The 22,892-nt window shown below is 41.6% G+C and overlaps 1 protein-coding gene across 11 annotated transcripts, besides 7 other annotated features; it reads left to right on the top strand.

The window, feature by feature from the left end:
• Positions 1 to 1,049: 1,049 nt before the first annotated feature.
• Positions 1,050 to 11,802, top strand: TLR10 (toll like receptor 10). Of its 11 annotated transcripts, none has more exons than XM_011513762.3 (4): positions 1,050 to 1,119; positions 7,833 to 7,930; positions 8,077 to 8,265; positions 8,388 to 11,802. In XM_011513762.3, exon 4 carries the CDS (start codon positions 8,450 to 8,452, stop codon positions 10,883 to 10,885), a length of 2,436 nt encoding a protein of 811 aa, XP_011512064.1. In that variant the 5' UTR covers positions 1,050 to 1,119; positions 7,833 to 7,930; positions 8,077 to 8,265; positions 8,388 to 8,449; the 3' UTR covers positions 10,886 to 11,802. The 11 variants fall into 11 exon arrangements, with proteins under 11 accessions (XP_011512064.1, NP_112218.2, NP_001182036.1 ...); NM_030956.4 differs by having other exon boundaries at positions 7,614 to 7,930; NM_001195107.2 differs by lacking the exon at positions 7,833 to 7,930.
• Positions 1,729 to 1,898: an enhancer, noted in NCBI's record as "experimental_79947 CRE fragment used in MPRA reporter constructs". NCBI's record gives its function as "activates a minimal promoter by MPRAs in K562 erythroleukemia cells, with activity observed for both the introgressed and non-introgressed 4:38783848 variant alleles {active_cell/tissue: K562}" and the evidence as "EXISTENCE:reporter gene assay evidence [ECO:0000049][PMID:34662402]".
• Positions 1,961 to 2,170: an enhancer, noted in NCBI's record as "active region_21448". NCBI's record gives its function as "activates an Ori minimal core promoter by ATAC-STARR-seq in GM12878 lymphoblastoid cells {active_cell/tissue: GM12878}" and the evidence as "EXISTENCE:reporter gene assay evidence [ECO:0000049][PMID:35858748]".
• Positions 5,106 to 5,275: an enhancer, noted in NCBI's record as "experimental_79942 CRE fragment used in MPRA reporter constructs". NCBI's record gives its function as "activates a minimal promoter by MPRAs in K562 erythroleukemia cells, with activity observed for both the introgressed and non-introgressed 4:38780471 variant alleles {active_cell/tissue: K562}" and the evidence as "EXISTENCE:reporter gene assay evidence [ECO:0000049][PMID:34662402]".
• Positions 19,507 to 19,576: an enhancer, noted in NCBI's record as "active region_21447". NCBI's record gives its function as "activates an Ori minimal core promoter by ATAC-STARR-seq in GM12878 lymphoblastoid cells {active_cell/tissue: GM12878}" and the evidence as "EXISTENCE:reporter gene assay evidence [ECO:0000049][PMID:35858748]".
• Positions 22,213 to 22,522: an enhancer, noted in NCBI's record as "active region_21446". NCBI's record gives its function as "activates an Ori minimal core promoter by ATAC-STARR-seq in GM12878 lymphoblastoid cells {active_cell/tissue: GM12878}" and the evidence as "EXISTENCE:reporter gene assay evidence [ECO:0000049][PMID:35858748]".
• Positions 22,623 to 22,672: an enhancer, noted in NCBI's record as "active region_21445". NCBI's record gives its function as "activates an Ori minimal core promoter by ATAC-STARR-seq in GM12878 lymphoblastoid cells {active_cell/tissue: GM12878}" and the evidence as "EXISTENCE:reporter gene assay evidence [ECO:0000049][PMID:35858748]".
• Positions 22,723 to 22,892: an enhancer, noted in NCBI's record as "active region_21444". NCBI's record gives its function as "activates an Ori minimal core promoter by ATAC-STARR-seq in GM12878 lymphoblastoid cells {active_cell/tissue: GM12878}" and the evidence as "EXISTENCE:reporter gene assay evidence [ECO:0000049][PMID:35858748]".

The raw sequence follows: 22,892 nt of genomic DNA, 5'->3' as shown, positions 1-22,892 counted from the left end.
TGCAAAAAATTAAACAGAATGGTCATACGATCCGTGAATTCCACTTCTAGGTATAGACTCAAAAGAATGTTAAGTACCAACTTAAATAGATATTTGTGCACCACGTTCACAGCAGCATTATTCACAAGAGCCAAAAGGTGAAAACTACCCAAATGTCCATTGATGGATGAATGAATGAACAAAATGTGGGACGTACATACAACAAAATAGTATTCAGCCTTAAAAAAGGAAGGAAAGATTCTATTATTCTATGTAATAATAATAGAAATGATATGGATGAACCTTAAAGACATTATGCTCAATGAAATAAGCCAGTCACAAAAAACCAAATATGGTATAACTCCACGGACATGAGGTACCTAGAGTAGTCAAATTCACACAGACAGAAAGTAGAATTATAGTTTCCAGGGTCTGAGGGAAGGGGAAAATGGGAAATTATTTTTTAATGGCATAGAATTTCAGTTTGGGATGACGAAAAATCTTTGGAGATGGGCAGTGGTGGTGGTTGCACAACAGTGTGAATGTACTTAATTAATGCCACTAAATTGTACATTTAAAAATGCTTAAGGTCAGGCGCGGTGGCTCACACCGTAATCCTAGCACTTTGGGAGGCCGAGACAGGCAGATCACTTGAGCTCAGGAGTTCAAGACCAGCCTGGGCAACTGGCGAAACCCCGTCTCTACAAAAAATACAAAAAACTTAGCCAGGCCAGTTGGTGAGCGCCTGTAGTCCCAGACATTTGCGGGACTGAGAAGCCCAGCCTCTTGCGGGCTTTAGCGCAAGAGGTCAAGGCTGCAGTGAGCAGTGATCACACCACTGCACTCCAGCCTGGGTGACAAAGTGAGACCCTACCTCAAAAAAAATAAAAATAAAAATAAAAATAGAAAGATGGTGAGCATGATAACTCCTATGTTATGTGTATTTGACCACAATTTAAAAAAGTGCTAAGATTATAATGAATATATATAACATGCAATACCAGTAGCATGCAGAAGAGGGCGGATGGGGTTTAAGCTTTACAGAAAACCTCGATTCAATTCCCTCCTGCAGCCAATTCTGACCGTGTCAACGAATCATCCACGCACCTGCAGCTCTGCTGAGAGAGTGCAAGCCGTGGGGTAAGAACCTTAGCTTTGTTTGTTGTAACTCTCATTAAAAAGATATAAGGGCTGCATGGGTATTTTCTAAAAAGGAGATAATTTGAGCTAATATTGAGGGGAGGGAAGTAGGGTTATTTAGATTTTTAGTATTTACTATTTTGTCTAGATTAATGATTAGTGACCTTGGGGCTATTGATCTGAGGAATTTCTTGCAGATGCTTGAGAGCGTGGGTTTCTTTTCACTGATTGCGGATCAAACCTGGTCAGCTCTTCTATTCAGATTGAACGGTCCTATGCACTGTGGCAAGTTTTTTCTAGCTCTTATTTCCCCACAGCGTATGTTAACCTCTGCTGGATGAAACCTTTGGCTATTTAAGGCATATTTGTTGCTCCTTTACCCCGTTGAAAAGTTCTGCATTTGTGTTACCTGTTTAAAAGTAGGGGCAGATCTGATGGATCTTGTACAATGCAGTTCTTATTCCGTTTCCTTCAGAAGTGGACAAAGAGGGCCATATGTGGTTGCTGTAAAGAAGAGGATGGTTAACAACCTGTGAGCATTTGGTTTCTTGATAAGCTTTCTCCCAGACCACCTACACTGAGCTATTAATTAGGAATAGGATGCACTTCGAGTTTTATTTCAATTCTTGTGAACTTATAACTTTCCTAAGAATATATTTATACATGTAGGCAAAGTCTCTTGAACTTTGTGGCACCTAGCAGAGTGTCCCACAGCAGCTGCATGAAGCTTCATAGACAGGGGCATGGGGTGAGAAAGGAGGAAGTGGCCGCCATGGCAGCTGGTCAGATCAATGGATTCAACCTCAGTGATTCGGTCCTTAGGATGTCGTTACATCTTAAGCCACCTCATTTCAAGGTTTGAGGTGCCTTGCATTTGGGTTTAGTTACCATCCAGAAGGAACCAGACAGGTCTGGGTTCAAATCTCTGCTTCTTCAGTTGGTCATCTTGGGCAAGTTACTTTACCTCTGGGCTTTAGCTCCTCCATCTGTAAAATATGAATAATAATGGCCGCCATTTTGTTGAGTCATTGAGGGATTAAACAAGGTAATGGACATAAAACACTTAGCTCCATGTCAGACACGTAGGAAATACTGAAAAGAAGTCATTCTTACTCTTATGTTGCAAAGATCATTCAACATTCAATAGGTTCTTAATCTCTTTTCTATTTCTTTATATCATTGGGAAAAGATAAATTAGATGATTAAATATTCTTTGGTAAAACACTAGTTGTCATTTGATGATGTCTTTTGACTTGGACTTTTAAATTATAAGATATTAAAGATGTATTAAGGAAGGTCATTCTCTGTTTTTTACCTGCTTTTAACGTAGTAGTAGGGATATGATATTAACATATATATACTATTTATAGACTACATCACCAACATGGTGAAACCCCATCTCTACTAAAAATACAAAAATTAGCCGGGTGTGATGGCAGGTGCCTGTAATCCCAGCTACTCAGGAGGCTGCGGCAGGAGAATCGCTTGAACCTGGGAGGTGGAGCTTGCAGTGAGCTGAGATCATACCACTTTACTCCAGCCTGGGCAACAGAGCGAGACTCCATCTCAAAAAAAAAAAAAAGTGTATGTCCTACTTTTAAAATTGCTTTAATGAGGCCAAGCACAGTGGCTCACACCTCTAATCACACCCATTTGGGAGGCTGAGGTGGGAAGATTGCTGGAGGCCAGGAGTTTAAGAGCAGCCTTGGCAACATAGTGAGACCCTGTCTCTATGTAAAAGTTGTTTTTATAAAATGTCATAATGCATAAGTATTGCCTGAGAGATAGGACCTTTACTATTGTTATATTAAGAGAAGTTCAAAAAGAGTTCCTCTCCCATTGTAGTCCCAGATAAGACTGTGGTATTGGGCAGGGGGAAGAAGTGGGTAAGAGATAGAAACTCTGACTTCTCAGCGCAGAGTTCCAGCTAAAGCAACTGGGTTAGATTCTGCTGCATTCTTAAGGGGCCATGGCTCTAAGACCTAGAAGCTTAAAGTCAATTGCTACAAATTAAGCACTCTATGAGAGGATAACATTAAAAGCACCTTTGTCAACCTAATGATTATAACTGCCAGGGTCCTATCAAGCCATAATAGAGCCTGAGGCAAAAGAAACAATCAGCAATACTGATCCTGTCTTTATGAAAAATTTCGATATTTTGTTCAACATAGATTTTTGCATTAATTTTCATTTTTAAAAATATTTCATGTAAACATTATCTTGATTACTGAGTTCCTTGGGACCCCCTTAACATTTATGCCTTCCTTGCTTCACCCGAGTCTTGACCTGATAACTGCCACCATTTATTAAGTGTGATATGCTAGGCATGGTACTAAGTGACTTACATACATTGTCTTATGCCTCTTCACAAGCTCCATTTTACAGATGACAAAACCAGATCTTTCAGAGATTAAATAAATGGTCCGAGTACATAGCTAATGAGTGGATGAATGGTTAACATTGGATTTGAACACAGATCCATCAATCACTAAAACCAAACTTATTCTTTTTTTTTTTGAAACTGAGTCTTGCTCTGTTGCCCAGGCTGGAGTGCAGTGGTGGCATCTCAGCTCACTGCAACCTCCACCTTTTGGGTTCAAGTGATTATCCTGCCTCAGCCTCCCGAGTAGCTGGGACTACAGGCACATGCCACCACGCTCAGCTAATTTTTTGTATTTTTTTAGTAGAGACAGGGTTTCACCATGTTAGCCAGGATGGTCTTGATCTCCTTACTTTGTGATCCACCTGCCTCAGCCTCCCAAAGTGCTGGGATTACAGGCCTGAGCCACCGCGCCAGGCCTACCAAACTCATTCTTCAACCATCATGCCCTGCACTGTATCAGGAATTCACAACATAAATTCATTCATTCAACACATATTTATGAGAGCATATTATGCATCACGTTGTACTAAGGATTAAAACGTTGAAATTCATACATACAAGGATTCATTCATTCATATGTGCATTCAACAAGCAGTAATGAGCAGGCACCATGTGTCAAGCACTATGCTACATGCTGAGGATACAGAAGTGAACAAGACAGACAGCTACCACGGGAATGAACAGAGAAGGGACAGGTGACAAGCAAATGAATGAAAGTTTATTTACTAAGAGGTCATTCAGAAGAGATCATGAATTCATGGAAAATTATTTTCTGCATCTAGTGGCATGGAAATTAAGATATTCTGAATTTTAATGTATAGTTTTAAGAAAACTGAAAGAAAATATAAAGTTTATCATTATACATTGGATACTATGAACACAATAATTTGAGTAGTAATTACACTTCCAGGCCACAGTTGTAAACTGATTTTCTATTAGAAATATTTAAAAGTAGATGTAGAAAACTTACTCTTAAATATATAACAGTTCAAAAATCCAGCAGGAACTAAGTTAATTAAATAGAATATTCACCTGTTTTTTCTGATAATTATCCTGTGTTATATTTACATATTAATGCAGTATAATATTTTAGTATACATTACACTCTAGGGAGTCACTGAAATGTCAGCAAAGAAAAATACGGCCGGAGGCATCTTAAGTCATTTGACCACGTTTTTAAAAGTTGGTGTTTTGAGAAATCATCTAAATGTGGTGACCTTACCAAAATGATTGCTTTTTCTCCAAGATATTTGAGAACACTTACCAGAAACAATAGTTTATGAAATATAAAAATTATATGATCAATGTGGATAATTAATATTTTTACAAAGGAATTCTCCAAGTTTACATTGTAAGGGAGTTCACACAAAGAAACTATGATCATATGTGTTCCCAAGATAAGAGATAAGATGCTCTCTCTCCTTTACTAGTATCAGCAGCTAATGGAAAACTTGGGAGTGGCCCTCTCACTCCCTACTCTCCATAGGTTTTCTGGAATTTCTTCACTTCAAGAAAAAAACCAGACTTGGGAAGGTTCTAGAGAAAGAGAAATACAGATGAGAGAGAGGTAACATTCTAAGTGGCCTTATGTTTTGATTCTGCCCCACCTTTGTTACCCTGCCATGTTTGTGTGCATTCCTGTGGATGGGCGTGCCCACTGCCTCCCTCACCTCCCATCCAGGCTTTCAGAATGATGGGAACATGACACGCACAGAGAATTCTCTCTAACCCATCCTCTTTCTGTTGAGCATATCTTTTGCTCCCTCTGCTTGTCTATGGGAGTGACCTGTCTGAGGGAGGTTGAGGGTCAATGTGTAACAGATACATACAAATGGAAGCAGAAAAACTCCCCCACTAACTTATCACCTGCTCTTGGTGCCTTCAGAGAGCCTGGTGTGGGGACACGTAGAGTTAAATTGTTTACTAATTTGAAATTAGAATCTAACCACTTCTCTCCACTTCCATTGATACATTCTCTCTGGCACAAGTTACGCTATAGTGTCCCAAGGAGTCTTCCCTGCCAGCCTTGTGGCTCCCAGTCATTTCCACCCAACAAACAGAGGAATCTTTTTATTTGTTTGTTTGTTTATTTATTTATTTATTTATTTTATACTGTAAGTTCTGGGGTACATGTGCGGAACGTGCATGTTTGTTACATAGGTATACACATGCCATGGTGGTTTGCTGCACCCATCAGCCCATCATCTACATTAGGTATTTCTCCTAATGCTATTCCTCCCCTAGCCCCCCACCCCCTGACAGGCCCCGGTGTGTGTCAATGTGTTCTCATTGTTCAACTCCCAGTTATGAGTGAGAACATGTGGTGTTTGGTTTTCTGTTCTTGTATTAGTTTGCTGAGAATGATGGTTTCCAGATTCATCCATGTCCCTGCAAAGGACATGAACACATTCTTTTTTATGGCTGCATAGTATTCCATGGTGTATATGTGCCATATTTTCTTTATCCAGTCTATCATTGATGGGCATTTGGGTTGGTTCCAAGTCTTTGCTGTTGTGAATAGTGCTGCAATAAACACGTGTGTGCATGTATCTTTATAGTAGAATGATTTATAATCCTTTGGATAGATACCCAGTAATGGCATTGCAGGATCAAATAGTATTTCTAGTTCTAGATCCTTGAGGAATCGCCACATTGTCTTCCACAATTGTTGAGCTAATTTACACCCCCACCAACAGTGTAAAAGCGTTCCTATTTCTCTACACCCTCTCCAGCACCTGTTGTCTCCTGACTTTTTAATGATCACCATTCTAACAGGCATGAGATGGTATCTCATTGTGGTTTTGATTTGCATTTCTCTAATGACCAGTGATCATGAGCTTTTTTTCATATGTTTGTTGGCTGCATAAATGTCTTCTTTTGAGAAGTGCCTGTTCATATCCTTCACCCACTTTTTGATGGGGTTGTTTTTTTCTTGTAAATTTTTTAATGTTCTTTATAGATTCTGGGTATTAGCCCTTTGTCAGATGGACAGATTGCAAAAATTTTCTCCCATTCTATAGGTTGCCTCAAACAGAGGAATCTTTAAAATGTATGTCAGAACCTGTCATTCCTGGACTCTAAATCTTCTGCTGGTTTCTTATTTCAGTCAGAGGAAAATTGCCAAGTTCTTATAAGATCCGACCTCTTCTCTGATTCCGTCCCCTAACTCCACTCCAGGTCTTCCTCACATTTTCCAAGCACATCAGGATCTTTAAATTTGTACTTGCTGTTCTCTCTCTCTCCAAAATACTCTTTCCCCAGACAACAAGTGTCTTGCTTCTTTGGCCCCTTTAGATTTCTGCATGAAGATCACTATCAGGGAGGCCATTTTTGATCATTCTATAAAAAAGAAAATCACTCCCCAGTCTCTCTCTGTTTCCCTTATCTTAGTTATTTTTCCTTCAAGACAATATCACTGCCTGATATTGGTCCCCACCCAAATCTCATCTTGAACTGTAGCTCCCATAATTCCCACATGTTGTGGGAGGGACCTGGTGGGAAGTAATTGAATCATGGGGGCGGGTCTTTCCCATGCTGTTCTCATGATAGTGAATAAGTCTCATGAGATCTGGTGGTTTTATAAAGAGGAGGTTCCCTGCACATGCTCTCTTGCCTGCTGCCACATAAGACATGACTTTGCTCCTCATTCGCCTTCCACCATGATTGTGAGGCCTCCCCAGGCATGTGGAATTGTGAGTCATAACATATAAACGTATTGTTTTGTTTGCAGTCTCTCTTTTCTTAACTTCTTTCTAGAATATAAGCTATGTAGAAACAGAAATCTCTTCTGTTCACTGCTACTTCCCCAGTGCCTAGAAAAGTTTCTGGCAGAATAGGTACTTAATAAATATCTTGAATAATGAATATCGTAAAATCTTAGTACTCCAACTACCTCTGTTCTACGTCTAATCCAACCACGTGAAGCCTGGCACATCTCCCAAAGTCCTCAGAATTCTATATCCTTCAATTTCCTCATCTATCAAATGGGAGTAGTAGTACTTCCCTCACAGAGTATGGTGATAAATAAATGAGATAATATACATGAAGCAATTAGTATGTATCTTGGCACATTGAAATCTAACCTGAAAGCTTTGATTCTATGCCATAACAGAATTCAGCAGCTGAATATCAAGACCTTTGAATTCAACAAGAAGTTAAGACATTTATAGTTGTCTAACAACAGACTGAAGATTGTGGCTTGGTATTCACTGGCAGGTTTCAGACATTTAGATCTTTCTTTTAATGACTAACACCATGCCTATCTGTGGAGAAGCTGGCAACATGTCACACCTGGAAATTGTTTTTCAACATTAATACTATTATTTGGCAGTAATCCAGATTGCTTTTGCCACCAACCTGAAGACATATAGAGGCAGAAGGACAGGAATAATTCTATTTGTTTCCTGTTTTGAAACTTCCATCTGTAAGGTAAGTGTTGAAAGTCAGATATTGGCTCCAGGGACTTTCTATATCCACAAATACAAAAATTGAGGGGTAACTCCTTGATATCAAGTCAAAGGCTCACAATGTCTGGTAATAAAACAAATTACTTTCAATTTTCTTGAAATCTTCAGGCTATCAAAAGGAGATGTGAGAGAGGGTATTGAGTCTGGCCTGACAATGCAGTTCTTAAACCAAAGGTCCATTATGCTTCTCCTCTCTGAGAATCCTGACTTACCTCAACAACGGAGACATGGCACAGTAGCCAGCTTGGAGACTTCTCAGCCAATGCTCTGAGATCAAGTCGAAGACCCAATATACAGGTTGGAACCTTACTCCAACCTCTTGATGAATGTAGTCAGATGTTGGCATTTTTTTTGCAAATAAAAATCCTACAGGATTTAACAAACCAAATAAAAATCTAATATTATATACTTTTTTTTAGGGTTTTGAGCTCATCTTCATCATTCATATGAGGAAATAAGTGGTAAAATCCTTGGAAATACAATGAGACTCATCAGAAACATTTACATATTTTGTAGTATTGTTATGACAGCAGAGGGTGATGCTCCAGAGCTGCCAGAAGAAAGGGAACTGATGACCAACTGCTCCAACATGTCTCTAAGAAAGGTTCCCGCAGACTTGACCCCAGCCACAACGACACTGGATTTATCCTATAACCTCCTTTTTCAACTCCAGAGTTCAGATTTTCATTCTGTCTCCAAACTGAGAGTTTTGATTCTATGCCATAACAGAATTCAACAGCTGGATCTCAAAACCTTTGAATTCAACAAGGAGTTAAGATATTTAGATTTGTCTAATAACAGACTGAAGAGTGTAACTTGGTATTTACTGGCAGGTCTCAGGTATTTAGATCTTTCTTTTAATGACTTTGACACCATGCCTATCTGTGAGGAAGCTGGCAACATGTCACACCTGGAAATCCTAGGTTTGAGTGGGGCAAAAATACAAAAATCAGATTTCCAGAAAATTGCTCATCTGCATCTAAATACTGTCTTCTTAGGATTCAGAACTCTTCCTCATTATGAAGAAGGTAGCCTGCCCATCTTAAACACAACAAAACTGCACATTGTTTTACCAATGGACACAAATTTCTGGGTTCTTTTGCGTGATGGAATCAAGACTTCAAAAATATTAGAAATGACAAATATAGATGGCAAAAGCCAATTTGTAAGTTATGAAATGCAACGAAATCTTAGTTTAGAAAATGCTAAGACATCGGTTCTATTGCTTAATAAAGTTGATTTACTCTGGGACGACCTTTTCCTTATCTTACAATTTGTTTGGCATACATCAGTGGAACACTTTCAGATCCGAAATGTGACTTTTGGTGGTAAGGCTTATCTTGACCACAATTCATTTGACTACTCAAATACTGTAATGAGAACTATAAAATTGGAGCATGTACATTTCAGAGTGTTTTACATTCAACAGGATAAAATCTATTTGCTTTTGACCAAAATGGACATAGAAAACCTGACAATATCAAATGCACAAATGCCACACATGCTTTTCCCGAATTATCCTACGAAATTCCAATATTTAAATTTTGCCAATAATATCTTAACAGACGAGTTGTTTAAAAGAACTATCCAACTGCCTCACTTGAAAACTCTCATTTTGAATGGCAATAAACTGGAGACACTTTCTTTAGTAAGTTGCTTTGCTAACAACACACCCTTGGAACACTTGGATCTGAGTCAAAATCTATTACAACATAAAAATGATGAAAATTGCTCATGGCCAGAAACTGTGGTCAATATGAATCTGTCATACAATAAATTGTCTGATTCTGTCTTCAGGTGCTTGCCCAAAAGTATTCAAATACTTGACCTAAATAATAACCAAATCCAAACTGTACCTAAAGAGACTATTCATCTGATGGCCTTACGAGAACTAAATATTGCATTTAATTTTCTAACTGATCTCCCTGGATGCAGTCATTTCAGTAGACTTTCAGTTCTGAACATTGAAATGAACTTCATTCTCAGCCCATCTCTGGATTTTGTTCAGAGCTGCCAGGAAGTTAAAACTCTAAATGCGGGAAGAAATCCATTCCGGTGTACCTGTGAATTAAAAAATTTCATTCAGCTTGAAACATATTCAGAGGTCATGATGGTTGGATGGTCAGATTCATACACCTGTGAATACCCTTTAAACCTAAGGGGAACTAGGTTAAAAGACGTTCATCTCCACGAATTATCTTGCAACACAGCTCTGTTGATTGTCACCATTGTGGTTATTATGCTAGTTCTGGGGTTGGCTGTGGCCTTCTGCTGTCTCCACTTTGATCTGCCCTGGTATCTCAGGATGCTAGGTCAATGCACACAAACATGGCACAGGGTTAGGAAAACAACCCAAGAACAACTCAAGAGAAATGTCCGATTCCACGCATTTATTTCATACAGTGAACATGATTCTCTGTGGGTGAAGAATGAATTGATCCCCAATCTAGAGAAGGAAGATGGTTCTATCTTGATTTGCCTTTATGAAAGCTACTTTGACCCTGGCAAAAGCATTAGTGAAAATATTGTAAGCTTCATTGAGAAAAGCTATAAGTCCATCTTTGTTTTGTCTCCCAACTTTGTCCAGAATGAGTGGTGCCATTATGAATTCTACTTTGCCCACCACAATCTCTTCCATGAAAATTCTGATCATATAATTCTTATCTTACTGGAACCCATTCCATTCTATTGCATTCCCACCAGGTATCATAAACTGAAAGCTCTCCTGGAAAAAAAAGCATACTTGGAATGGCCCAAGGATAGGCGTAAATGTGGGCTTTTCTGGGCAAACCTTCGAGCTGCTATTAATGTTAATGTATTAGCCACCAGAGAAATGTATGAACTGCAGACATTCACAGAGTTAAATGAAGAGTCTCGAGGTTCTACAATCTCTCTGATGAGAACAGATTGTCTATAAAATCCCACAGTCCTTGGGAAGTTGGGGACCACATACACTGTTGGGATGTACATTGATACAACCTTTATGATGGCAATTTGACAATATTTATTAAAATAAAAAATGGTTATTCCCTTCATATCAGTTTCTAGAAGGATTTCTAAGAATGTATCCTATAGAAACACCTTCACAAGTTTATAAGGGCTTATGGAAAAAGGTGTTCATCCCAGGATTGTTTATAATCATGAAAAATGTGGCCAGGTGCAGTGGCTCACTCTTGTAATCCCAGCACTATGGGAGGCCAAGGTGGGTGACCCACGAGGTCAAGAGATGGAGACCATCCTGGCCAACATGGTGAAACCCTGTCTCTACTAAAAATACAAAAATTAGCTGGGCGTGATGGTGCACGCCTGTAGTCCCAGCTACTTGGGAGGCTGAGGCAGGAGAATCGCTTGAACCCGGGAGGTGGCAGTTGCAGTGAGCTGAGATCGAGCCACTGCACTCCAGCCTGGTGACAGAGCGAGACTCCATCTCAAAAAAAAGAAAAAAAAAAAAGAAAAAAATGGAAAACATCCTCATGGCCACAAAATAAGGTCTAATTCAATAAATTATAGTACATTAATGTAATATAATATTACATGCCACTAAAAAGAATAAGGTAGCTGTATATTTCCTGGTATGGAAAAAACATATTAATATGTTATAAACTATTAGGTTGGTGCAAAACTAATTGTGGTTTTTGCCATTGAAATGGCATTGAAATAAAAGTGTAAAGAAATCTATACCAGATGTAGTAACAGTGGTTTGGGTCTGGGAGGTTGGATTACAGGGAGCATTTGATTTCTATGTTGTGTATTTCTATAATGTTTGAATTGTTTAGAATGAATCTGTATTTCTTTTATAAGTAGAAAAAAAATAAAGATAGTTTTTACAGCCTACACATCCTACTCATTTGGCTTGATTCTTCTTTCTGGTCTCACAGGTCACAGGAAGAAAAGCACTCCTGAAATATAATTTTTGCAAAATTATATTTCAAAAATGACAATTTTGCAAAATTATATTTCAAAAACAAACATCATGTCACTTCTCTGGTTAGAAAAAAATTTTGTGGCTTAAACACATGATTCAGGGAGAGAATGTCATGCTCCTTTAAGATCTGACAGCAATCTCCTTTTATATCCTTGCATCTTCTTTATTTTTAATTTTTAGAGACTAGCTCTTGCTCTGTCACCCAGGCTGGAATGCAGTGGTGCGATCATAGCTCACTGCAGTATTGAGCTCCTGGCCTCAAATGATCCTCCTGTCTTGGACTCCCGAAGTGCTGGGATTACAGGTGTGAGCCACCACACCCAGCCCCTCCTTGCATCCTATCATTGGGCCCTATGGAGCTACTGGCCCTTCCCCAGAACTTTCAGTGTTCTTTCATGGCTCCAGAGCCCAGATTTCACATCATGCCTGCTGTAATGCCTTCCCTACTTGGGTTTGTTCAGGAAATCTTACAGTTCTCTCAGGACACAATCCACATATCGACTCTTCTTTGAAATCATCCTCACTCTTTCCCGTAAGCATGATGCTTCTTGATTCTCTTCCACACTTTGGACATATTTCTATCACCAACCTAATTATGTACATTTTTAAAGTTTCAATTTCCCACTAGACTATGAACTCCTCAAAGGCTAAGACAGACTTACATCTGCCCTTGTGTCTGCAGCAGTCCCTGGTTCAGAACTGGTGCTCAAAGAATGTTTATGGAATGGATGTTGGGTTGGCTAGAGGAGCTTAGTGGGAACTCAACTGGCTTAAGGATAGATGGTGGAATTTAAAGGCATATTCTGAGAAGCTCAGGAAGAGCAGGAATAGGTAAAACTCAGGTAAGAAGACAGAGAATCCAGAATTGTAGGATTCCTAAGTAGAGCTCACGTCATGTGAAATTGCCAAAATTTGGTTGCTCTCGACCTAGAAAAGCATCTACTTTTAAAAATCTCATTCCATCTGTATTAGGGTTCTCTAGAGGGACAGAACTAATAGGATATATATATATATATATATATCACACAATACTATATCTATATCTATATCTATATCTATATATATATATTGCAAGGTCTATTGTGGGACCTTGTAATTGTGTGGGTCAACACTCCTTAATAAACTCCTATATATATAGGAGGTACATATATATATAAAATAGGATATTACATATAGGATATATATATAAAATAGGATATATATATAAAATAGGATATATATATAATAGGATATATATAGGAGCTATATAGGATATATATACAAATATATATAAAGTATATATAAATATATATACTTTATATATATAATAGGATATTATATATATATAGGATATATATAATAGGATATTATATATATATAGGATATATATAATAGGATATTATATATATAGGATATATATAATAGGAGATATATATATAATAGGAGATATATATATATAATAGGAGATATATATATATATGAGCTTATTAAGGAGTATTGACACACACAATTACAAGGTCCCACGGTAGACCATCTGCAAGCTGAGGAGCAAGGAAGCCAGTCCAAGTCCCAAAGCTGAAGAACTTGGAGTGCAATGTTTGAGGGCAGGAAGCATCCAGCATGGGTGAAAGATGTAGGCTGGGAGGCTAGCCCAGTCAAGTTTCGTCATGTTCTTCTGCCTCCTTTTATTCTAGCTATGCTGGCAGCTGATTAGATGGTGCCCTCCCAGATTAAGGGTGGGTCTGCCTTTCCCATTCCACTGACTCAAATGTTAATCTCCTTGGCAACATCCTCACAGACACACCCAGGAACAATACTTTGCATCCTTCAATCCAATCAAGTTGACACTCAATATTAGCCATCACACCATCTACTAAGACTAATCTCCTAAACAAGTTAAAACCGGATTCTGCATCTAATTCATTTTCTTATAGTTTGTATCTTATGAATTCCTCATGCTAGTGATTATTTTAAAAATTGTACTCAAGAAGGCCAACCCGAGAGTACAGGGAGGGCACTGGGTGTCAATCTAGAAGCCAGGCCATGCTACCATTTAGCCAGTAGCTGGAGTTGAGGAGCTAGAGTCTAGCAGCTTGGGGGCTGAGCATCTCTCTTTCTCTTCCCTGGTGAGCCCATGGTCTGTCTGGCAGAAGGGGAAACCCAAGGAAACCACAGTGGAATGGAGACAAAGCATGGGGAAGGTGCCTTCCTGGGCAGGACACTGATGTAAATGTGATTCTTGGCTTCTGGAGGAGTGAGACCGATTCTGCACAAGGGTTGGTAAATCTTGAGTAAATTATTCAGAATGAGACTTTCACCTTTAATTAGTTAATGAATTCACCTTTAATTATTTAATGAATTCACCTTTGATTAATTAATCCAGCTTTAATTCACATTTAATTAATTAACTTGGAACACACGAAGAATGTAAGATTAGCCCTAAAGTCACCAGGATTTAGTTATTTCATGCTAGAACCCTCAGTTTAGCAATACCATTTACAAAACAGATGTGTTTTATTACAAGTTTAAAAATAACACATTAGGCTGAGCTCTCAGCAACTTCACAGCTGGACAATCCTTAAATCTTACCTATCAAATCATTTTGCTGTTCCTGTCTCAGAAACTTAAATACCATCCAACATTTCCTAATATGCTTGGTTTTGACTGTTATGAATTACAATCAGAAAAAATAAATTTTACATGAGTTGAACGTTATTTGCTTTTGAGGCTTGAAATACAAGTAACACCTAGCCTCATACAAACCTGATGATATACTTTTACCCAAGAAATTTCAGATTTCAACAAAGACCCACTGTTCTGAATCATGACATTGATGCGGAAGTGAGCATACCCAGGCTGAATGCTGTAACAGCAGCCGGTGTCATGAACTCCGATCATGTTTTAAAAATGACTCTGGAGCTTGTAAGTTCCTTTTTATTTCCTTGCCATTTGTCAACCTGGAGCTTGTTTCATTTTTTTCCCCGAGGAAACTGAACTCTTAAGTGAAGTCTGTCTGTGTATTCCTCAGGGGGCTTTCACAATCTCTTAGCATCTCTACAGATAAATTGCAATCCTTTCTGGACGTCAACAGTTGAGTTGTTGAGAATGGTCTGTATTCTCTCAGCAAATGTGGCAAAGAGAGCTGTACTGAAATGGAATTGCAGTCCTTGAATTCCCAACAGATTAGTGGGAAGAAGGAATTTTACATCTAAATTTTGGCAAATGTTCCCCAAAGTTCACTCCTTTATCTATTATGATGAACCATTCAAGAGAAGCATAGACTAGGCATATTAAAAGTGGGTGAGAATTTGGAGATTGTCAAGTATAACTCTCACTTTCAAATGGGGAAATTGAGGCTTTAGAATTTTAAATGGCCCACCCAAGCCCAAGGTCATAGTCTTTTAACTCCTAATGTTTTTCCTTCCAATCCACAACCAAGTGGCCTTTACTTTTTGCATTTGATTTTTATTCTCTCATTCCTTCTATTGCAATTCTCAAGAACAGAGCCCTGGATGGGGCACTTTGATTATCCCGTCTATATTCCCCAAAGTCATTTGAGGTCTAGGCTTTCTCTGCAGTCTTCCTCCATGGCCAAAGCATCCTGTATTTGCCACCTGATTCTATCCCCGAAAAAAACATTCTTTTGCCATCGGTAACTTGCAATGGGGGCTGCTCCTCAGATCAGCCACCCCTGGTCTAGGAGCCAGAAAATGTTCTCTATGTAAAGGATGGGGAATAATGGGGAGCCTGTTCTCCCCTGGAGGTTTCAAAGGCAACTTAATCACCAGCATCCTGCTGGGGATACATACCTTGGTCCCTGAGCTCAATTTTCCACCTGGTGTGCTGTGACCCATGACTTGCTGCTGCCATTGATCCTTTTAACCCTGGACAGGGCTCCTTGAGGACCCACTTGAGATAGGGAGTGGGTCTGGTAGTGCATCCTGAAGTCCTGCCAGGGGACAAGCACAATGAAAAACTCCTGACTGTGGGTCTGGAAGTGGCCTACACCTGTACATCTATTCAACAGCCAGCTGCTGAGACACTGCCCTCCTTCACAGATGGGGGCTCTGAGCTGCTGGACAACACTGCGTTCTGGATGTTCAAGGACAAAGTTGCAGCCAACAGTAGGGGTGTTCAGGATTATGGTTAGGGAAGCTGGGTGGGGGATCCTGGCTAGCACAACTCCCGACAGCAGCCCATGTCTGCCTCTTCACAATGAGATTCTTGTCTTCAGAATCTGTCTTGTTAGTGGTGTCCAAGCAGCCTCAAGGGTAACTATTAATACTCTAACAACACATGCACATTCTAGTCATTATTTTGAAATACTTAATGAAAAGCCAGTGGAGTGAACTCTAAATCAATTCACATTTTCCCCAAGACGTTTATTTCAGTATTCTTTTTGCCCTTCAAATCTTTGCTCCAATCCCATTTCCGTTGAAGACTTCCTGGATGACCTAGTAGAAAATGGCAGCACTCTTTGTCCACCTTCCTTGCTTTTTATTTCTCCATAGCATTTGCCATCTTCTAAGTTTACTTCTAAGTTTTCTCTTTATCCTGCTGATTCCCTGTCTTCCCCCACTAGAATGCAAACTCTTTTAGAGCAGAAATTTTTTTCTGTTTTGCTCACAGATATTGTCTCTATCTCTGCCTAGAACAGTGCCTGGCACAGGTCCACTCCCCAGGGATTTTCTTTCTGTGTTGATTTTATTTTCTTTGTTGATTGGCCTCCTCTGCTCCTCTGAAGTCCAGCAGGGCCTCTGTTGCCAAGGCTGCCCCCTTCAGTGTCAGCGCTTATTGTTGGAAATCAAGGATACAGATTTTACTTGTAAGGGGGTGTATTAGTCCATTTTCATGTTGCTGATAAAGACATACCCAAGACTGGGTAATTTATAAAGAAAAAGAGGTTTAATGGACTCACTGTTCCATGTGCCTGGGGAGGGCTCACAATCATGGCAGAAGGTGAAAGGCACATTTTACATGGTGGCAGACAAGAGCAAATGAGAGCCAAGCAAAAAGGGAAACCCCGTATAAAACCATCAGATCTTGTGAGACTTACTCACTACCATGAGAACAGTATGGGAGAAACTGCCCCCATGATTCAATCATCTCCTACTGGGTCTCTCCCACAACATGTGGGAATTATAGGAGCTACAATTCAAGATGAGATTTGGGTGGGGACACAGCCAAATCATATCGGGGGCATCCCTCACCATCTGTATTTTTGCTGACACTTTCTAGGACCTGCCATCACTGGCTTATTGCTTCCCCCAACCACCCCACACTTCATGAATCTTCTCTTTGCCTCCTCCTATTGGAAGCTGCTGGATCTCAGGTGCTTGCTGTGGGCAGCCCTTTAACTATTTTGGAGTCTGCAGATTATATGAATCACTGCAAATGGGGTACCTGGTTCCCCCACCCCCAACCACTTCCCCTGTTCTTTTGCTGTCTCAGCCTTTTTAGAGGGGAAGGGGCAGCACTGGGCCAATGAAGCCCCTGCCGTGGGCCCACGCCTCAGATCTCCCCTTGCCCCAGTGCTTTGGAAGGTCTCCCTTGAACTTTCTAAGTCCTTCTGAGGGCCTGGTACAGCTGGGACTGGCAGTGTTCCCCAAGCAGGATGCCCCAGCCCAGACGCAGACCCGTATGGACCCCAGTCTTTATTTCTCCCCTTTGAGATGACCTCTGACCCTCTACCGCAAACATGGAGTTAACCAGATATCCTGGGGAGCTCTGTAATTCACATCTATGGGGCTCTCTCAGAGACTGGTGGTTGGATCCCCATTTGAGGTGGGTGGCCTGGAAAGCAGTGTAGGCCCACCCAGGATTGGGCACCAGAATGCTGCTGACATGTTGATTGGGGCGACTCTCACATTGAACACAAGATGACTTCAGGGCATTGGCTACCGGCAGCTCATCGCTGACCCTTGGGCTTGAGCCACCAGTGTGGACCTATGCCCATCTGTGTTTTGACTGTGGTGCCACCTCTTGTCTATAACACCTGAGGGTGGCAGGTGTGCTGGCAGGTGTCCTTTACCCTGCGCCCGCCTGTGCTCCCAGCCTCGGGCACCCAGGGCAATAGCTGCCATTGCTGCATGCTCTGAGCCATGTGCCAGGCAGTCCTTCAAGGATGACTTTCAAAACTGAACACCAATGGGCCTTCCAATCAACGTCCTGTCTTGCCTCCCATGGTTACATGGTGCTCTGCCAGTCAGTATTAAGCTGTGCCTGATGGAGGAGGAATGTTTCTTGCAGGAGCGGGACTGCTCTTCCCTCTTTCTGCATTGACCCCTTGCCTACCCTTGTGTGGAAGGCAGGGGTTCAGTCAGAACCAAAAGTACTTCCATGGTAGGAATGCCGTGGTTACCACCTCAAGAGGCCAAGAGAAAACGCAGCTGGATGGTGGGTAGTTCTATGTTTCTACTATAAAATTCTGAATGGTAAACTTAACAGAATCGGAAAATGAATACTGTATGGGCTCACATTTCCCTGCCTCATCTGGGGAAGGCTTGCATTCATGAAGCACAGTAACAACCTTTGAGAGTCATGGGAAGCTAGGGTGGATGGATGATGTGGCGGCATGAGTAATAATTCAACCAGCATTACAAACATACTGTCAGGGAACTGCAGAGGCAAGAAGACCTACATCATTTAATGTGAGCAGGTTCTGAAGAGCTGCCTTGTGATTAATTACAACACTGCTGCTGTTTTCTTCTTGGTGAGAGACACAGTTAACCAAAAACAGCACACTGGACAATAAAATGCGTGAAGAGATGGCTCCTGGGTTTGAACAGGAAGAGGTGTTGCTTGGATGCTGCAAAGAATCCTCACAGGTAGCAGCTGGAAAATAAACAATACGCAAATGACTCTTCTGTACCAATTCTCGTTAATAACTCACTGAACCTCTCACATGGGTCCATCCATTTCAAAATCTTTTTTTTTTTTCGAGACAGGATTTCATTCTAACCTGGAGTGCAGGAGTGTAGTGGTGCAATCACAGCTCACTGTAACCTCCACTTCCAAGGCTTCAGTAATCCTCCTACCTTGGCCTCCTGAGTAGCTGGGACTACAGGCATGTACCACTGCTCCTAGCTAATTTTTGTATCTTTTTTGGTAGAGACAGGGTTTTTGCCATGTGACCCAGGCTGGTCTTAAACTGGGCCCAAGCAATCTGCCTGCCTAGGCCTCCTAAAGTGCTGAGATTACAGGCGTGAGCCACTGCGCCGGGCCACAAAACAATTTTTTTTTGAGATGGAGTCTTGCTCTATCACCCAGTCTCGAGTACAATGGCACAATCTTGGCTCACTGCAAACTCTGCCTCCCAGGTTCAAGCGATTCTCCTGCCTCAGCCTCCCAAGTAGCTGGGATTACAGGTGCACGCCATCACACTGGAACAATTTTTGTATTTTTAGTAGAGATGGGGTTTCTCCATGTTGGCCAGGTTAGTCTCAAACTCCTGACCTCCAGTGATCTGCCCACCTCGGCCTCCCAAAGTGCTGGGATCACAGGCGTGAGCTACCGCTCCCTGCCAAAACATATTTTTTAATCAAATTATTTTATAGACAGGGGCCCTGTGCTACACAGTCCTGAGAAGAAGAATATCTTGGCTTATGCAGCCAGAATGTGTATTGCTTCTGATTTTTTAGCTGCACAATGATTTGTTTCTGTTTCGGAGGAAGTCATTGGCAACAGGACAGTTTTTATCTTGAGTACTAATGGATGATGTGGTGAAATTCAGTGGTAAGATGGGTTGCTCTGACAGATTGGAACAGGCACATTCTAATACCACCATATTAAGTTTATTGGATGTTCCTCCTGTGGTGTTTATTAAAAATGGAAAGGAGATGAGGCCTTTATTATTTTAGGCCATGATGGGTTAAGGCACCACATTATTAGACTGTGTTCTCCCTGTGAAGAAAGTTAGATCTTTGGTCATGCCCAGGAACCTTCTAGACCTAAGGACTTTAAGTGTCTTTCCTGGCAGCAGTACCTTTGGCCCTGGGAAAAAACAGGCCAGAGAAAGCTGCTGAAAGAATCTGTGCAAGGTTAGCTCAGATATTCCATTAGGATCGATGTCTTTGATTCCTGGACTCACTACCCCTGAGCCCTCAACCTCTTTCTGGCTCTTTTATTTCAGGAAAAATGTTTCCATGATGCTGTCATTAACATCCTGGCCTTGTATACTTAACAGTACAAGGCACTAACCTTTCTTGAGGATTTATTATTTATTTATTTATTTAGAGACAAGGTCTCACTCTGTTGCCCAGGTTGGGTTGCAGTGGCATGACCATGGCTCACTTCAGCCTCCACCTCCTGGGCTAAAGCATTCCTCCCACTTCAGCCTCCCGCGTAGCTGGGACAACAGGCACGTGCCACCATGCTCTGCTCACATCTTAATTTTTTTGTAGAGACAGGATCTCATTATATTCCCCAGGCTGATCTTGAACTCCTGGGCTCAATTGATCCTCTCACCTCAGCTTCCCAAAGCATTGGGAATACAGACATGAGCCACCATGCTCAGCCCTTTTTGAGATTTCAAATGTGCCAGCCACTGTTCTAAGTCTGTCGTGATGTTATACTTGTTAAATCACATAGATCCAAGGGTTAAATGTTATCATTATTCCTATTAACAGATAAAGTCCCCAACCAGAAGTCAAGGTTTCATGGCTAGTAAGTGACAGAAATGCAAGATTGTGATGACAGAGCCTGTGTTTTTTTTTTTTCTTTTTTTGAGACGTAGTCTCGCTCTGTCGCCCAGGCTGGAGTGCAGTGGTGCTGTCTTGCTCACTGCAACCTCTGCCTCCTGGGTTCAAGTGATTTCCTGCCTCAGCCTCCCGAGTAGCTGGGATTACAGGTGTGCACCACCACACCTGGCTAATTTTTGTATTTTTAGTAGAGACGGGTTTTCACCATGTTGGCCAGGCTGGTCTTGAACTCCTGACCTCAGGTGATCCAACTGCCTCGGCCTCCCAAAGTACTGGGATTACAGGCTTGAGCCACCGTGCCCAGCCCAGAGTCTGCTTTCACAGATGGTCTGCTACACTGGTAGAGCCAGAGCTTGGTGACTGGAAGAATTAGTTTCTTTCCTATGTGTAGTAACATGGACATACTTGTTCCTGCTAGACCCTATTCTTGGATGGAGGTATCTCGTTGTGGAAGAGCAATTCTTATCATGACGTGTGTAATCCAAATGCTACCAATCCTTACCAGCCTGAGGCTACAAAGAAGGCACAACAGCATCAGTGACCCCAGTTCTTATTCTGGCTCCCACCTGCTGAAGCGGGGCCTCTCACCCTCCTGCAAACGTGCACACGAATATTTCCATTCGAACCTGAGATTCTCGCAGGTGCCGGACAGCTTCCTGTCAGCTCCTCTCCCCATGCTGCCGTAGTCTACTCCCCTCTAGCTCGCGGCAGCTACCCCTGGGCCCTTTGCAGGTCCTTGCAAGAGTCTCTCACTACTGACATTGCTGAATGAAGGTGCTTTCTCAATGGTGCTAACGACCATGCTAAGGGTGCTTTCTCCCAGTAATCCCAAATGCAACTATCCTTGTGACGAGGAGCCATGCCGAGTTCCACGGAGCTAGCAGTAGATTCGGTACTTCTCTCCTCAAAATTGTGTGTCAACCTCTCAGCATGCCAGTGCTGCAATGCTGGGATCCACCATCTCACCGAGTTGCTCACGAAATCCATTTCTTCAGCTCTCACTCCTCCCTCTGCGGGGGTTCCAAACCAGCCCAAGGGGGCAAGAAGGGTGACACAGCACCTCGTCCTTTCCACTGTCCCTATTCTGTCCCACCTCTCCTTTCCAACCCCCAAATAATCCTCCTTCCACCCACCTATGCATATCAATTCATGCACACAGACGGAGACGAGTAAAATTTACCCAAATAAAAGCCAAACTGTTACTCCCGGCTTGGGTACAGCTGGGACACCCTGATCCATGTTTTCTACAAATTAAATGGGAAAGTTTGTCTCCTAAGGCCGCCTGGGAGAGGTGGGAAATGAACTCCATTGTCAGAGCCTCGGAGAAAACATAGAGCCAACATCCTCCTTCACCCTTAAAAGCAGGTGGCTGGAGAAACTTTAATCTGAATCATTACAATAGATTAAAAACTGAAAAGATCGAATTTGGCTTTGAATTTTTTATTGTCTCAAAACTCAGCTTCAGACTGAAGAACAAAAACGACAAAAATGATATGAAGATCCTTAAAGAGGAAAAACCAAACCAAATCCAAAAAACAAAAATTAAAATACCAAGAGAAAAAGAACCCCAGCGGGAGGCAGCCATAATGCAACTTCCCGTTTTGCGGCGGGCATCTACCTTAAAGCAAGGGCCTGTCCATACCTACAGACGCCCAGCACTGGGGTAGAAGCAGTTTCACTTCATTGGTTGCTTCCCACGGGGCCTTCTCACTGTGGAAAGCAGAAGTTCATGGGATTAAAATAAATCTCATTGTGTATGCAAGAGTAACGCTGCCGGCAGAGCGCCTCTTCCTGTGACTCCACACTTCTTCAATTCTAAGCTTGGTTCTTTCCACCCAGACTTTTTTTTTTTTTTTGAGATGGAGTCTCACTCTGTCGCCAGGCTGGAGTGCAGTGGCACGATCTCGGCTCACTGCAACCTCCGCCTCCCGTGTTCAAGCGATTCTCCTGCCTCAGCTTCCCAAGTAGCTGGGACTACAGGCATGCACCACCACACCCACCTAATTTTTTATTTTTAGTAGAGACAGGTTTCACCATGTTGGTCAGGATGGTCTTGATCTTCTGACCTCGTAATCCGCCCGCCTCGGCCTCCCAAAGTGCTGGGATTACAGGCGTGAGTCACCGCACCCGACCTCCACCCCGACTTTCTAGGCACTCTCTCAGGAACCCTGACTTTGGTTTTGGGGGAAGCCATGAAGCACTTGCTGAAGCATCGGGTCACTTCATGTGTTGTAAATTCTGTAACAAAATCTGGAAGGAGCCCTTGTGTCAGGGAAAGAACCTACTGGGAAGGTCTGGTCTTCTCCACAACTCATCTTGAC

Source organism: Homo sapiens, chromosome 4 (genome assembly GCF_000001405.40).
Source record: "Homo sapiens chromosome 4, GRCh38.p14 Primary Assembly".
In the NCBI taxonomy this organism is placed as follows: Eukaryota; Metazoa; Chordata; class Mammalia; order Primates; family Hominidae; genus Homo; species Homo sapiens.
This window is presented reverse-complemented; position numbering and strand designations above follow the sequence as displayed.